The 16017-nt window shown below is 42.2% G+C and overlaps 1 long non-coding RNA gene across 3 annotated transcripts in view; it reads right to left on the bottom strand.

Moving 5' to 3' along the window:
- The window catches only part of LOC105379034 (uncharacterized), a 36735-nt gene continuing 28269 nt past the window's right edge, over positions 7552 to 16017 (bottom strand). For all 3 annotated transcript variants that reach the window (XR_001742745.1, XR_007058819.1, XR_001742746.1), the window contains 2 exons: positions 13469 to 13582; positions 7552 to 8019 (listed from right to left, as the gene is read on the bottom strand). This is a non-coding gene — a long non-coding RNA (uncharacterized LOC105379034). The remainder of the gene's footprint in view (positions 8020 to 13468; positions 13583 to 16017) is intronic.

Here is a 16017-nt window from a genome sequence, read left to right as displayed (position 1 = left end):
TCATTGCCCCATTTGAGATTTGTAGAACAGTACAAAAGGGCTTCTGGTGACTTTGGTGTCTGCACATCTTAGAATACCGTGACTGGCAGCCTCTCTTGCTCTTAGTTTTATATTCCTTGTAAAATCATGCAGCATTCCATGTCATTCTCTCAAGGTACAGGAACTCTCCTTACTCGGGAAATTTGATAAGAAAGATAAGGCCCGCAAGATTGCTCAAATCAGAAGGCAAGTTCTTCCTGGGAGTGTCCTGAGGATACTGGTAGAAACTGGCAGGATGAGATTAGAGATAATCCACATAGCCAGTAAATATCCTGTAGATCTAAGCCAGAGAAGGACTAAGCAAAGCACCACTGCTCCTGACTCTTTATTTTACTACTCATCTTTATGAGAGTCAGAGGCATTTGAACCAGAGCAACTCCATCTTGAGTAGGGGCTGGGTAAAATAAGGCTGAGACCTACTGGGTTACATTCACAGACAGTTAGGCATTCTAAGTCACAGGATGAGATAGGAGGTCAGCACAAAATGTAGGTCATAAAGACCTTGCTGATAAAACAGCTTGCAGTAAAGAAGCTGGCTAAAACCCACCAAAACCAAGATGGGTGACCCTCACTGCTACACTCCTACCGGCACCATGACAGTTTACAAATGCCACGGCAAAGTCAGGAAGTTACCCTATATGGTCTAAAAAGGGGAGGCATGAATAATCCACTCCTTGTTTAGCATATTATCAAGAAATAACCGTAAATATGGGCAACCAGCAGCCCTCTGGGCTCCTCTGTCTATGGAGTAGCCATTTTTTTTATTCTTTTACTTTTCTAATAAACTTGCTTTCACTTTATTCTATGGACTTGACCTGAATTCTTTCTTGCACAAGATCCAAGAACACTCTGGGGGTCTGGATCAGGACCGCTTTTTGGTAACATGAGGAACCACACATTAAATAATAAGATTATTATTCCACAAGTAACATACATGCACAGTGAGGTAAATTAGAAAACACATTTAAGTTGTGGTAGATTACATGATAGTTTCCAAATTTCACCACTTCCTATATCCATGCCCTTTGCCATGTGGCTTTGCAGACCCTTCCACTAGAAATAGTCTATTTTTCTCCCCCACTGATTTAGGACATGGGAACAGAAAGGGCAGCGTAATAACCTCTAATCAAACCTTAAGAGATAACACAGGTTCCCACTCGCCCCTTTGCACTTCTGTTATTGCCAAAAGAACATACCCTGCTTAGCCCTCTGGTCTAAGGAAGATGGGATACAGAGAGCAGACCTGGACCCAAACTACAGTTGGAAGCCAATCTTAGCTGAGCTGAGCTCAACTTAAAACAGCTGACCCCATAGACATATGGTCGTGAATGAGAAAAAAAATGACTGTTGTTTTAAGGCACTGGGTTTTGGAGTGGTTTGTTACACGTCATTACTATGGAAAAAGTTAACTGTCACAAGTATAAAGAGGAAAAGAAAAGGCACTATCATCTCGCCATTCAAAAATACCATTTAGTGTGTGTTTTTCCCTAACATCTGTATGTGTGTGCTATACATGTGATAACTTTTATAAAGCAATATACATACTGTTCATATTTCTCTGAAATTTGGTGGGTTTTTTTCTACTTAATGGGAAAATTTCCAAATCAAAAAGTGTATCTTACAACATATCTTAACATATTAATGACCATATAGTGTGTTACAATACTGATGTAGCATATATATTTTTTAATCTTAGTTACTGAATTTGAGTAGTAGCTAAATGTATTTTCTTTGTAAACAATACAAAAGTATGTAGACTAAAATTCAAATCCTCCTTAATATATGCTCTCCCTAATATATGCCTCCCTCCTCAAAGATAATAACTGTTAAATGTTTGATTTGTCTTGTTCCAGACTTTTTTTGTGTATTAATATGTATGTACAGGTCACCTGAGGTCAGGAGTTCAAGAACAGCCTGACCAACATGGTGAAACCCCTGTCTCTACTAAAAATACAAAAATTAGCTAGGCATGGTGGTGGGTGCATATAATCACAGCTATTTGGGAGGCTGAGGCTGGAGGATCGCTTGAACCCAGGGGGCAGAGGTTGCAGTGAGCCGAGATTGCACCACTTCACTCCAGCCTGGGTGAAAGAGCGAAACTCTGTCTAAAAAAAAAAAAAAAAAGTGTGAGTGTGTGTGTGTGTGTGTGTGTATGTATATGGCTTGTTATATGTCAGTCATGTTACACTAAAGTATTAAGTAACCTACCACAATATGGACATGCCAGTACTTAGTACTTAAGTGCTCTATCATTTGTAGACATATGAGTCATATCCAAGTTTTTGGAGTGTTCAGTGAACATCCTTCTTTATGCCTTTTTGATTACATATGCAAGTATTTCTCCAGGATCAATACTTTGATGTAAAATTAGCAATTTTACTAAATGCTGTCTAAGCGCTCTCAAAAGCCTGTGTCCAATTTATCCTCTACCAACAGCGTATGAGAGGACCCATCCTCACCAACACTAACCAAGTCCTCTGTATTTGTTTCCAACTAACTTTGCAGCTTGTCTCAAAACTTCAGCTTCCTAATCTTTAAAATGGCCATGATAATTCTTATGTCATCATGTTATTAAAGGAAAGAACTTACCATGATTCATAGCAGTAGCATGGCTATCATTTTTCTTACTATTGTCTACCAGAATTTCTCCATGAGAACCTTCTATTTCATCCATCCAAGCCCATCCTTTTTGCCACTCCGAGCTTGAATCACACATTTCCCTAGACCTTCTCCCCTTCCTATTTTTCAAAACCCAACTGTTATCTTTCAAGGTTAATTAGAGTTTCTTCCTTCATCATGTGGCTCCCTGGCCATTCTTTTGAACTCCCACATATCTTTTTTCTGAGCCATTTTTTGACTTTACCTAGAATCACCAGCTATCTAATAATAATGTTAAAATAGCTACTATTTATTGATTCATAACCCTGTAGGAGCCACTGTGCCAAATGCTTTTGTAGACAACTCATTTGTCATCCGTACATTATTATTATCCTCAATGTACAAAAGAAAATTCACAAGCTCAAACAGTTTAGACAACCTGCTCAAGGCCACATATAAGTGGCAGAGCAGGAATTCAAAGCCACATCTCCATGCTGCGAATCCTATGCTATCAATCACTCCACAATATGGTTCTTACCCCTTCAGTGAGTGCTATGGTCTGAGTGTTTGTGTCCCCCTCAACCTCATACGTTGAAACCTAATTACCCATGCAATAGCATTAAGCGTATTAAGAGGTGGAGCTTTTAGGAGGTGACATGGTCATGAGAGTGCAGCCTCATGAATGAGATTAGTGCCTTTGTGTAAAGCTCAAGGGAGCTTGTTTGTCTCTTCTACCATGTGAAGAGATAGCAAGAAGATAGGAACAGGCCCTCACCAGACATTCAATCTGCTGATGCCTTGATCTTGGACTTCCCAGCCTCTAGAACTGTAAGCAACAAATGCCTGTTGTTTACAAGCCACCCACTTTATGATATTTTGTTATAGCAGCCCAAACAGACTAAGAGACTGGAAATTCCTGAAGGCAGAGGCAGAATCCTGCCTTTCTTTGCATCCTCCTCACATCACAACTCAATGTCCTGCATATGGTGAATACTCAATTATTGTGTTATTTGGTTGAATGGTTGAGTCTTTTTCTTTCCAGGCCCACATTCTAGGCATGAATCATCCATCATTCCTGTGTGGCATATCCTGTCATCTACATCATAGGAAGAGATCTAAGATTTTGTTGAACCAACACTATGTACCCTCTCCCCACTATATTACAAGAGCTATTTGGGCCACAAAAGAAATAAATTACATAGCCCTTTGGCTTAAGGAACTTCTTTTCCATATCTGAGGGATAAAATATAAACAACTGAAATAAATTGTGATGAATCAAAATGCCCCAAAACACCTACCTAGAAAGCAAAGGCCTGAACCGAATCTTCAGTCATATGGAATGCAAGCGGTTGGAAGAGAAAAATCTCTATAAAGTTGAGGAAGATGTTTGATTTGTCTTCTTCCAGACTTTTTTTGTGTATTAATATGTATATACAAATATAACTGTACACATGTATAGGATTTTAAGATCTGTGACTTTTCTTTTCTTCTAAATAGTCTCTTCTAGAGCCATTCTTCAAGTCCCATGAAGTGGGACTTGACATTATACTCCTGACATTTTAAAATTCTTTTTCTATCTCAATGTTATGTGTTATATGTGCTGCATTTCCAGCCTTTTCTCCCTGATGCTTTCAGAGGGTGTGCCCTTGGGGTCCATGGCGGTAGCCGTGGTGACAGGCAGATTGGTGACTTCAGATCCCATGAAGTGGACTTGAAGAATGGGTGACATGGTAGGGAATGGGAGGAGGACACGGCCAAGGTGAGGAGCAGCCAGAGCAAGAGTATGGGTCCAGATTTCCAGCTCCTCTTTCTTTCCCATGCTGAGGGCTTCCCTGCAGTTTCCTCTCCATAAAGTGCGGATAATAATATAGCACAGCACTCATACTTAACCTGCATAATAAAAATGATATAATTAGGCTATGACTATAGAGCACTTTGAACTCCAAAACGGAACTGACTAGAGTGGAAGGTTGTTATTAGTGTGAACGTGGGATAGCCCGTTTTTAAAAACATAGCAAATGTCTTCTCATAACTAATTCCAGCCCTAGAAAGCAGTGGCCCTGCAGATTCCTACACAGAGAATCTTCTCTATGTTTCAGACACAGGCATTGGACTGGAAATAAACATTCTACCCTGAAAATAGAAATAGTCAAAGCTGATCAGGTCCACTGATATCAGAAGAGAGAAAATATTCCATATATAGGAAACAAAACAAGGCAGGTGATAAAGTTGATTAAGAACTAGTGATTCAATTGTAAGCCTGAAACTTGGCCAGTCTGGCCTTGGGCTGAAATGACCAAATCTCATACTTAAGCCCACTAGAACATGTTTGCACAAAACTGTTAAGCAATGCTGATTGTTTGGGTCCAAAAAACAATCCACACAGAAAGTACATTGTTTCCAGCATAATACTAAGACTAGTCTTCAAGGATTGGAGCATTTTCTCTCAGAAAACAGATTTTGGAAAGGAATAAATTGCCAACTACCTAAACTGTGTGTTTAGGTGATATCTCCCTCTTGTGGGAGAGGGTGGGGTGGTACTCCACGTTGACAAGAAGGTAGGATGAGTGTCCATTTGTAGATGTTGTTAGAAGGAAGCAAATTTCAGATGAGCTCAGAGAAAGAATTTGTAACACAGCTAGTGGGGAGTCACACAGACTTTGTCTCAAGATAGGGAGTGCCCCAGCACTGGGGTTATTCAAATGCTAGTAGAGAATCTCTGGTGGAGGGATTCCTGAAACGGAGAAAATAGACCCAGATGGCTCAAGGTGGCCTATTTAAGTCTGTAATCAGTGTGTTTCTTCATAATCCACCATGGCTCTGCTGAATAGAAAGTGAACCTGGACCCAGGAATGGGGTGGAAAACGTTGTCCAGTTGCAAATTATTCAGCATCAACTGTGAGCATTGAACACAGCCCTGTCGTCAATGTTTCTTGAATGAGAATTAGCAGAGCTTGGGACTTGGGGACTCTGGGATCTTTTTCCCTTTTTCAAAAAAAAAAAAAGCAAGTGTGCCATGATGTGTTGGGAAACACAGTGTGCCCTGCTTCTTCTTCCAAGATCCTCCGAATCCTGGTGGTATCATAGCCCAAGGAGCTCAAGGTGTGTCCTCATCAAAGACACTTAAGAAAGCCATCATAATAATAACAACGAGGGCAATAAGAATAAGAAGAATGCAACTACCACAGAGAGTGCTTACTGGTCTTAATACTCTTCTAACTATATCAACTCACTTAAACCCATTTTACAGATAAGTGGAAACAAGAGTCCAATGTAAGAAGTTTGGTTCCAAGCCCAGGCATTTAATCGTTATGCTATACTCTTGACATTTTAAAATTCTTTTCCTATCTCAATGTTATCTGTTATATGTGCTGCATTTCCTGCCTTTTCTCCCTGATGCTTTCAGAGGGTGTGACCCTGGGGTCCATGGCGGTAGCCCTGGTGACAGGCAGATCTGATCCTCTTGTCTCTCATCTCTGTCACTTACTAGGTTATACTCATCAAGCCTGCTTCCTCATCTGGAAAACAAGGGTAGTACTATCTACTTCTCACCTTTCTTGTGAGGGTGAAGAGCGGTCATGTCTGTGCTGGCCTGGCATGATGGCTAGCCTAGAGAGAGCCCTCAATGCATGGGGTGGCTCACCAGGGAGCACCCTGGAATTCCTCTGTCACGTGTTTCCAAACGTGGAATTTTTTGCAGGGCATCATGTTGATGTCCAGGGGAGCCATTCTGATCTGTAAATGCAGGTTACTTTCCAATATCCAGGCTTTCCAAAAACCAGCCCTAGACTGGGCAGGCAGAGCCTACCAGAAACCTGTAGTTTGATGGATTCAGTACCTGAGACATGTCAGAGCAGAGGCCAGTCTCCTTGGTGTTTACTACAAAGCTGCCAAACATGCTCAGTGAGCAGGAATGACTGCCTCCCTCTTTCCATGGCTGGATTCAGGAGCCCGTGGGAAGTCAGAATCAAATGAGATTCCATGAAATCCAGTCAAGATGCTTGCAAGGGGGTGGGGTGCTTCTCAAAGTTACACATTAATTTGGGTAAGTTCAGATTTATCTCACATCCCTTGTAAATTGATTGGAATTGGAATCACAGGACGCTTCAAAGAGGCCTGATAATCTTCAGGTGTTGGGATTTAGCAAAAGGCAACAGAAGAAAAACAACAGTGCTATCAGCCAAGTCTTTTCTCAAATAACAGGGCCCTGTAATAAATCCACCAATCAGATTGGTGCTAGAATCTGTATGGATGTTAGCTATGCCCTGCACCACAGTGCAATGTGAAGGGGACACAGATCACAAGAGCAGAGGTATACATTTGTTTCGCTAGAATTCAAATGGAATGAGATTGTTTATTTCCATGTAAGAACCATGTGGTTTTAAAGTGTTGTGTAAAGAGAGGTTTTGTCTATTTCCCATAGACAAAGATTGTCATTTGAGAGCCTTTGTCTTTACCTAACACCCGGAAATGTACCATGGGTCACCAGCCACCCTGGTTTGCCTGGGACTGAGGGGTTTCACAAAACACAGGATTTTCAGTTTTCAATTCAGAACAATCCCTGGCAAACTGGAATGGGTTGGTCACTCTAAGAGCTTCCTTAACCCTTTAGACTATGGATTTCTTCTTCCCTACTCTCCTAGTCTCCCTACCAATCTAAATCAATAGTTCTGAATTCTGGCTGCATGTTAGGACCATGTGGGGAGCTTTTGAAACTCTCAATGCCCAGGCTGCACCTTCAGATCCATTCCACAGTGAGCTCCTGAGCAGGGAGCAGGGACCCCAGCAGCTGGCAGGAGGTGGCGGGGTGTAGAAGCACTGCTCTGAGTAGGCACCAAGTTGACAGTTGGTGAATGGGGCTGCTAATGCTTATGCTTATTAAAGGAAATACTTTTATAAACAAAAATGCTTCATGATAACAATAATCTTAGGCTAATAGGTTTGATAAATTTGTATTTTTCTCTGTGTCTTCTGAAAGCAAAACCCAGCAGCAGATGCTTACATCTAGGCACTCATCATCTCCAGCACTAAGCATTTTGCAAAATAATTGACATCTATAGTTTTGTAATCAAATAAGTTTGAAAAGCAACAACCCAAACTAGACTCACATGTGACCACAGAGCTCTTGTTGTTGAGAATACCAGCAATCTTCATAGCTCTTAAAATATCTTTCTTCACCTGAATCATGATTTGTGCTTCAAAGCATGGAGGACAAAATATGGGCACTGAAGGTGGACAGACCAGGGTTCAAATCATTCCTCTGATGTTTCCCATTTACTCTCCACAGGAACTTCAAGTCATTTCACCACTCTGAACCTCAATGTGCTGATCTTCAAAATGGGAGTGATCATGAAGTCTTCTTCAGCCAAGCCATCACTGAGCCTAGTAAGAAAATTAATGTGTTGAGTTTGGTCCAGTGCCTGGTGAGCAATTAACAAGTGGTGATGTCTTCACTCACCCAAGGGACAATGAAGCAGGCGGGTGCCTACCTGGTAAATGACAGTTGACACTATGGAAAAATCAATATACGTGGGGAAAAATGGCTTTGAAAGTTGGGGTTCCCCTTCTGAGCCAACGGGATTCTTCATCTTGAACAAGAGGCAACTGAAGTCCTCAGTTCATTTGAATATAGGTCCTCCCAGCTCCCCCGAAGACACTGTATTAAAATTTGAACCACAGGCTTTGGTCAGCACCTCCCTGAGCTGTTGCTTTTGAGGAGGGCTTAGAGCTCAGATCTTTGGTAACTAAGCTCTCATCAGCAGAAACAAGAAGGAGAGGACCATGTGCTCTGGGCAAGAAATCAGCCTAGAGCTTAACTCCATCTGTTCCAGTGGTAGGGAAGGGAAAAGGGAAGCATCTGGTTGCAGCTTAAAGCTTCTTATAACCAAGTGAAGTGCCTGCACTCGGCATATAGGAGCCGCATGAAGAGAGAAGGACTGTTACCATCTGCCCTAAGATGGAGACTACCGTCCAGCTATGTGCACCCTGAGACAACTCACTCTCCAATTCTCCACGTTTGAGAATTTCAGGGTGAGTCCTTCCTGCTCACTTCTGATTTTTACCAAAAAGAAGGCCTTTGTCCCAAGGCTTCTCGTCTATTTATTGGTTAACAAGCTTGGTTTCTATTATCTTACAGCCTCCTGTAAAAGGATAAAGGCTCTTTCTCCGGTCCCTAGATGTTATCACCTTGCAGAACAGCGTATGCACACCACTGGCTCACTTCATTTTAGTCTCCTTCCTTCCAGGAAAGATTAAGAAGGTCAGATGTTCTAATTTTCAAGTACTCACTGTCTATAGGATTAATCCCCAACTAGGTTGTTGGGGATGCAGAGATTTTTACATAGGCCAGTGGCTCCCTAGTCTGGATGATTATCAGAATCAACCAGGGTGCAGCCCAGAAATCTCTTGGGGGAGATCTCTCATTTTTAATAGATTCTGCATTGCCTCTTTTGGTAAACATTACTGACTGATTGAATCCAATATCCATTCTCTTCTACCTTGCCACCATTTTCCCAGCCTTGCTGGTGGCCGAGAAAGTGATGGGATTTTGTACTGAACTGTGTGACATAAGCAGAAATCTGGCCACTTATGGAAAGTTTTGCTATGTTGCAAGTAGGGACAGGTCCCTCCCTATCCCCTTCCCATTTCCTGTGCCTTGAAGACAGACTTGATAGCTAGAACTACAGCAGCCACTTTGTGACCATGAGACATGTCAGGAAAGCCAAGGGAATCACAAAGACCTTAGCCAGGACCAAGCCACTGACAAAAGTCAGGAAATATCCAAACTTGTTATGCTTTGAGAAAAATGGACCCCTCTTTAAGCCACCATAAAGTGGGCTTTTAGTTACTCACAGCCGAACACATTTCTAATAAATATACCTTTTCTTTTTCCTTTTTAACTTTTTTTATTCATCTTTCCAGTAGGGTTGGGTAGGATGGGAGCCAGGGATAAAAGGAGGAAGAGAAGGGACAGAGAAAGCCTTATGAGCTGGCTGCTGGTGGAGGGCATGGCCACTGGAGCTGAACTATTTGGGGGCCTGCTGTGTGCTGCTCTCTCACTCTGGACTGGGCATCTTTTCCAGACCTGGCCTGGCACCTTCATGCTGTGAATTACTGTTTCAGATGTGTCCTTCCCAGTCCCTCCATGAGTCCTTTGTGTTCTAGTCCCTCTCCACCTTTTCAACATTTTTTCTAAATGGGAGGTTTCTTAAGGACTACTATGGCTTTAAATTTAAAAAAAAAAAAAAGGCTGAGTGCAGTGGCTCATGCCTGTAATCCCAACACTTTGGGAGGCCAAGGCAGGCAGATCACGAGATCAGGAGATCAAGAACAGCTTGGCCAACATGGCGAAACCCCATCTCTACTAAAAATACAAAAAAAAAAAAAAAAAAAATAGCCGGGTGTGTAGTCCTAGCTACTCGGGAGGCTGAGGCAGGAGAATTGCTTGAACCTGGGAAATGGAGGCTACAGTGAGCCGAGATCATGCCACTGCACTCCAGCCTGGGAGACAGAGCAGGACTCCATCTCAAAAAAAAAAAAAAAAAAAAAAAGAGTGCCATTGGGTAGCAGTAGATGTATTAGTAATCCAACAATACCACTCTAGGGTGACTTTCTTCTTAAACTGTTTTGGGAGCCTGGTTGTATGGAGACAGAGCGGGACTCCATCTCAAAAAAAAAAAAAAAAAAGAGTGCCATTGGGTAGCAGTAGATGTATTAGTAATCCAACAGTACCACTCCAGGGTGACTTTCTTCTTAAACTGTTTTGGGAGCCTGGTTGTATGGCCTTAACCCTCTGGGAGAACAGCCTCCCAAAATATATATCCCTTGGCTGGTTTTTCCTATGAGACAACCATCTGACGAGTGTGGAGTTGAGACAAACCCAATTCCACTATCCACAAACCCAGCTGGGAACGTGGATAGTCCGTGGGAAACAGGCACATCACACATTGGAGTTGTTTGACCAGAGGTCAGAAACTGGTGGTCTCTAGTGAGTCTTTGAAGCTTTGATGGCACTTTTCATAGGCAATCTTGTGCCTGCTCAAATTGGGGTGGGCAGTGGAAAGGTGGGGAGACATGGGGAAGGGGTAATGCCTTTCACTCTCATGCCTGAAGAGAAAGAAACCAATCTTCCAGCTTGGTTTATTGCACTCTCTTGAAAGCCAGGGATAATCATATTCATGTCTCTTTCTGGATAAGCTCTTTATGAGGTTCAGGCTGCCTGCAGTTTTCCCAAAGACTTATCTCAAGCCATTGGCAGACCCGCCTTTCTGCTTCTCCTTCTGACTCCTGCAAAACGAGCTTTTTGCAAAAGGACAACCATTCTGTTTTACGCTTCTCTGTGCTGAAAGGTTTTCCCAAATAGGTAAAATCAACTGATTTCTTTCAGGATATGCTTAATGGTTTCTTCTGAAATCAGCTTTTAAACTTTGTTTTCAGCTATACATCATATTTAGAACACTTAGGAGTCTACAAGAGTCAGAAATGAATAGTTTTCATCTCTAGGTGAATGTGCTTCATATACTGTGATTCTTGGTTGGTCATATGGGACCCTTTTGTAAGGATATTATGATCTTAAAAGAGTAATTGACCTTCCCAGTGTCCTAAAATTTTCCCTGAAGTCAAAGTCCTTCCACTGCCAGGAGATAGAAAATGTGGGCACCTTAAAAATACCTTTTCTGGATATACTTTTACAATAATATGTGTTTCAATGACAATATGGACAGATATGCATGACTGAATGTGAAGAGAATTCTTAGCTCCAAGAAAGACAGGTTGGCAGGGACACTCAAGAAGTGGAATCACAATTCTAGACCTAGATTTAATACCCTCTAGTTTTTTATTTTCCTATTTTAGTTTTGCTGAATCTGTTACCTTTGAATAATAGGGTTAGCTATAATATGAGTTAATATTTTTGAGGCCTTCCTGTGTGTCTAGCATTGCTAAGGCCTTCATATGTGTGCTGCCTTGTTGAATCACTACAGAAGTCTGTGTGGTTAGCAGTAGTACAACCCTCTTCTCCTCATTTTAGAGAGGAGAAAGTTAAGGCAAAAGAAATCCTACATGAGTTATCTAAGGCCCTATATACCAAACCTGCTTCCAGAATCTGTGCCCTAAACCCCTGAGCACACTGCCAAATCCTCTTGCAGGCCCGTTGACATATGTAGAGAAAAGGATACCCTCCACCTCCATCTCCACCCCACTTCCACGGCTGCTGTTGTCGTTGTTAACCTCCATTGCACCTGAGAGATGGCACATAGATTCTCTTCTAAAGTCATTACCCAGTTATTCCTGAAGCTCAAAATTATCTTTTCATACCACACTGTTTCCAATGCCAGAATATCTGAGCAAAACATCTGGGGCATGTTTCTTTCTGCCTGGTCCCACCACTCCTTAGTCTCCTGCATGTTGGAATCCAAGGATGGGACTCAAATCAGAAAAACTTCTCTAAATAGTATTACTCTAAAGTGACCATGTTTTTGTTTCGGGCTTCATTCTTATTTTAATAGTAATTCAGCAGAAGAGTAGAAACAGCGGCAGCAGGTATCACTAATGAGCGTTTTATAGGTGCCATGCACTGTGCTAATTGAATCACTTCCTGTCTTAGTCTGTTTTCTGTTGCTTGTAACGGAATACTTGAAACTGGATAATTTATTTAAAAAGAAAAAGAAATGTATTTCTTAGAGTTATGGAGGTTGAGAAGTTCAAGGTTGAATGACTTCATCTGGTGAGAGCCTTCTTGCTGGCGGGGGCTCTCTGCAGAGTCCCGAGGAGGTGCAGGACATCACATGGCAAGGGGGCTAAGCATCTTTGCTCAGGTGTCTCTTCTTCTTCTTACAAAGCCACAAGTCCCACTCTCATGATAACCCATTAACCCGGGAATACATTGATCCACAAATGAGGGCAGAGCTCTCATAGCCCAGTCACCTCCTAAAGGCCCTACCTCTCACTACTGCCACATTGGGATTAAGTTTCAACATGCGTTTTGGAAGGGGCAAAGAGCAAAACCATAGCACTGCCTAATTTAATCACTTCAAATACCTTACAAGATTGTTGTTATCTCCACCTTAGAACTGAGAAAACAGAGGCTCGAGGAGACTCTGCCCAATTTTATAGCTAAGTTGTTGAGCCAGAAATTGAATCAGGCATGATTCCTAATCCATTTTGTTCAGCTTTTGCCCTTGGAAACTAACAATGTGACCCTCTCATTGCCAATCACTGAGCTCTTTTCTCCATTAAGTGTTTAAAATACTTCTGTTTATCAGGAAGTTTTCTGTTTACTCACTTATTGTCTAAGTTCTAAAAGTGAACTGAGAAAATGTTCCAATGGCATTCTGGAGTGACGTCTAAGGCTCCAGGATTGGATTGTGTTCTTCTGCAAAGGCTCATAATAATATCTCATGGATAGTGCTTGCTTCTCATCAACAGCATCTCCCCCTCTCCACCCACAGCTAATCTTTTTTCTCTCCTTTCTACCTTCACATTTAAAGTATCTGTTTAAATGAAAAGTGCAAAGTGTTATTGCATCTACCCAGTGCTGTCAAAAATCATCTCACTTTGTCCTTCAAACAAAGCTAGTTTTATTTGAAAATTGAGAAATGAATGCTGCAGGCATTGGAGTGATCTGCCCTGTGCTACAAGTGGTGGTACCTAGCCAAATTGGGACTCAGCAGAGCCTGTTGATGTCAAACCCATCAGAAATGCAACCAAGCTAGTCAGGGCTAAAGGGGCTCCCTGCTGCCTGCCCAGGACACTCGCAGCACCCCAGGGCCTTCTCTCTCCCCACTCAGGATAATTTCTACCATGTTAGTATCTTCTGTCTTCCATTGCTCACCATTCAGACAACATCATGCGTTGGAAACAATGCAGGCTTCAGAGCTGGAAGGACTTTGGATCTGACTCTTGGCTCAGCTTCTCATTAGCGACTTTTGAGCATCAACGTCTTCATCTGCAGAAAGAAGGTAATAAAATAATAGGCTTCCACAGTATTTCTGAGGATCCAGTGAGACAATGGTGAGTGAGAAACACTGCACAGTGCCTGAAACCTAGTGGGTGCTCCTCTAGTATGTATATACCCTGAATTGTTTCCCTCTGTCTACAATTACCATGCCCCCCTCAACTAAGCAAACAAATAAGAACCCACAGTTTTTCTCCCCTTTTGTGTCATTTATGTCAGCATTTGTTGACTGTAATTTTACAGCACATGAGTTGAAAGGTGAGTTGCCAGTAGTAAGATGGGAAAATGTTACAGAATAGCTCATAAGACAGAGGGTTCCAGAGTATAGCTGCTTCACGTTTTTCCATCTAAGGCTTCACCACTGACCAGCTGGGTTAAGGAAATAAGCCTCAGGCTCCAACTCTATAAAAAGGGGATAATAGTACCTACTTATGAGGTGTCGTGAAGACCAAATGAGATGCTCACATCACAGCATTTCATAGACTGGAAAGTCTATGAATGTATGTATGTTGGAAAACATACAGTAAATGCTCAAATTCAGCTGTCATTATTATTACTACTTAGGAGAACTGAAATTTATAGATCATTTAATTTTAAAAAATCAGTCCTCGTTCAGACTTACCCCTAGAGTAATGTCACTTTCTTTTTTAGCATTCTGAAATGCTTCCCTGAGTGGAAGAGAAAGGAACAGAGCCATAGCTACAAGCCAAGAAATGCCCAGAATCCTAAGCATGCCCATGGGAATGTCGTGCATAAGGATGGCATGTGATGCCTGCTGTCCTAACCCAGATCATAGCGCATAGACAGTGTTTATGAGGAGCCAGGCATTATTCTAAGCTCTTCATGCATATTAACTAATTTCATCCTCACTACCACTCCATGAAGTAAGTGCTGTTATGAACACCATTTATGTTAATACATGAGGAAAACGGCACAGAGATGCTGAATGACTTGCCCAAAACTGCACAGGGCAAGTATCAGCCAGGATTTGAACCCAGGCAGTCTGGCTCTAAGGTCTACCTTCTATACTATATTACCTAGAAAAAGAAAGTCCTTCATTAAAGTACTTAACTTCCAACAATTGACTGCCTAATGGAGCTTTAGGGCACAACTAGAGTGTAAAGCTGGGATCATTCACACTTTCTGTATTCCATTTGGAATTCCATTTCTGCATTTAAATTTATTTAAGCAGATGAATCCCAGATAAAGTAGAAGCCTTTGGATGCAGCCCTCCCTGGCAGCTGGGCATCCTTCCCAACCACCCATGCCAGGCAGCATTCTAGGATGGCCCCAACGAGTGACAGCCATCTATCAGCCCCTCCCCTTCAGCGCAGGCAGAAACTGTAACTGGCTTCTAGCCAACAGGGAGTATGAAGAAGGTGGTGGGAGGTCACTCTCATGGTCTTATTACAGAGGGAGAGATTCTCCCACTGGCCTTGAAGAAATGAGCAGCTATGTTGTGAGAAGGCCCAGGAATTGCGAGGAATCCAGATGCTGACAGCATTCCCCAGCTGGCAGCCAGCAACTGAGTAGGGACCTCAGTCCTCCAGCTGAAAGGAACTGAAGTCAGCTGATAATCATGAAAGCTTGGAAAACGATCCCAAACTCCAGAAAGAAACACAGGCCACGGGCACTCTGATGGCAGCCTTGTGAGATCCTGAGGACAGGATCCAGAAGTCATGTCTAGACTCTTGGCCTATGCAAACTGTGAGAGAATAACTATGCTATTTTAAGCTGCTAAGTTTGTGATTGGTTATGTTGCAATAGAAAACAAATATGTACTACTTTTGTCATCCTGCAGGTGAAAAAAATTGTATTTGAAAAGCCTAGATAAGGCCAGGTGCAGTGGCTCATGCCTGTAGTCCCAGCACTTTGGAAGGCCGAGGTGGTCAGATCATGAGGTCAGGAGTTTGAGACCAGTCTGGCCAACATGGTGAAACCCTGTCTCTATTAAAAATACAAAAAATTAGCTGGGCGTGGTGGCGGGCGCCTGTAATCCTAGCTACTCAGGAGGCTGAAGCAGGGGAATCACTTGAACCCGGGAGGCAGAGGTTGCAGTGAGCCAAGATTGCGCCACTGCACTCCAGCCTGGGCAGCAGTGCAAGACTCTGTCTCAAAAATAAAAATAAAAATAAAGCCTAGATAATACCAGAGGGATTAAAAACCAAAGCTTCTAACCAATCTCACTCCTTAACACAAAAGGGTGTCTTTATAGGTATTCAATTAAAAATATAAAAGAAAAAATGCAGGCTGATTCCCTATCTAAGATCACAAATATATCAACAGAGAAGTGTTTCTTTCCTTTGAGCTAATTTTTTTCCCAAATGGACATTTTTCCTGCTTTTGCAAGTTTGCAGACTCAGAAAGCAGACAGTACCTCCAAAGTCTATCTTGTTCATTTGCCTGGCTCCACAAAGGGCCCCATC

This window comes from Homo sapiens, chromosome 5 (assembly GCF_000001405.40).
Source record: "Homo sapiens chromosome 5, GRCh38.p14 Primary Assembly".
Classification (NCBI taxonomy): Eukaryota; Metazoa; Chordata; class Mammalia; order Primates; family Hominidae; genus Homo; species Homo sapiens.
This window is presented reverse-complemented; position numbering and strand designations above follow the sequence as displayed.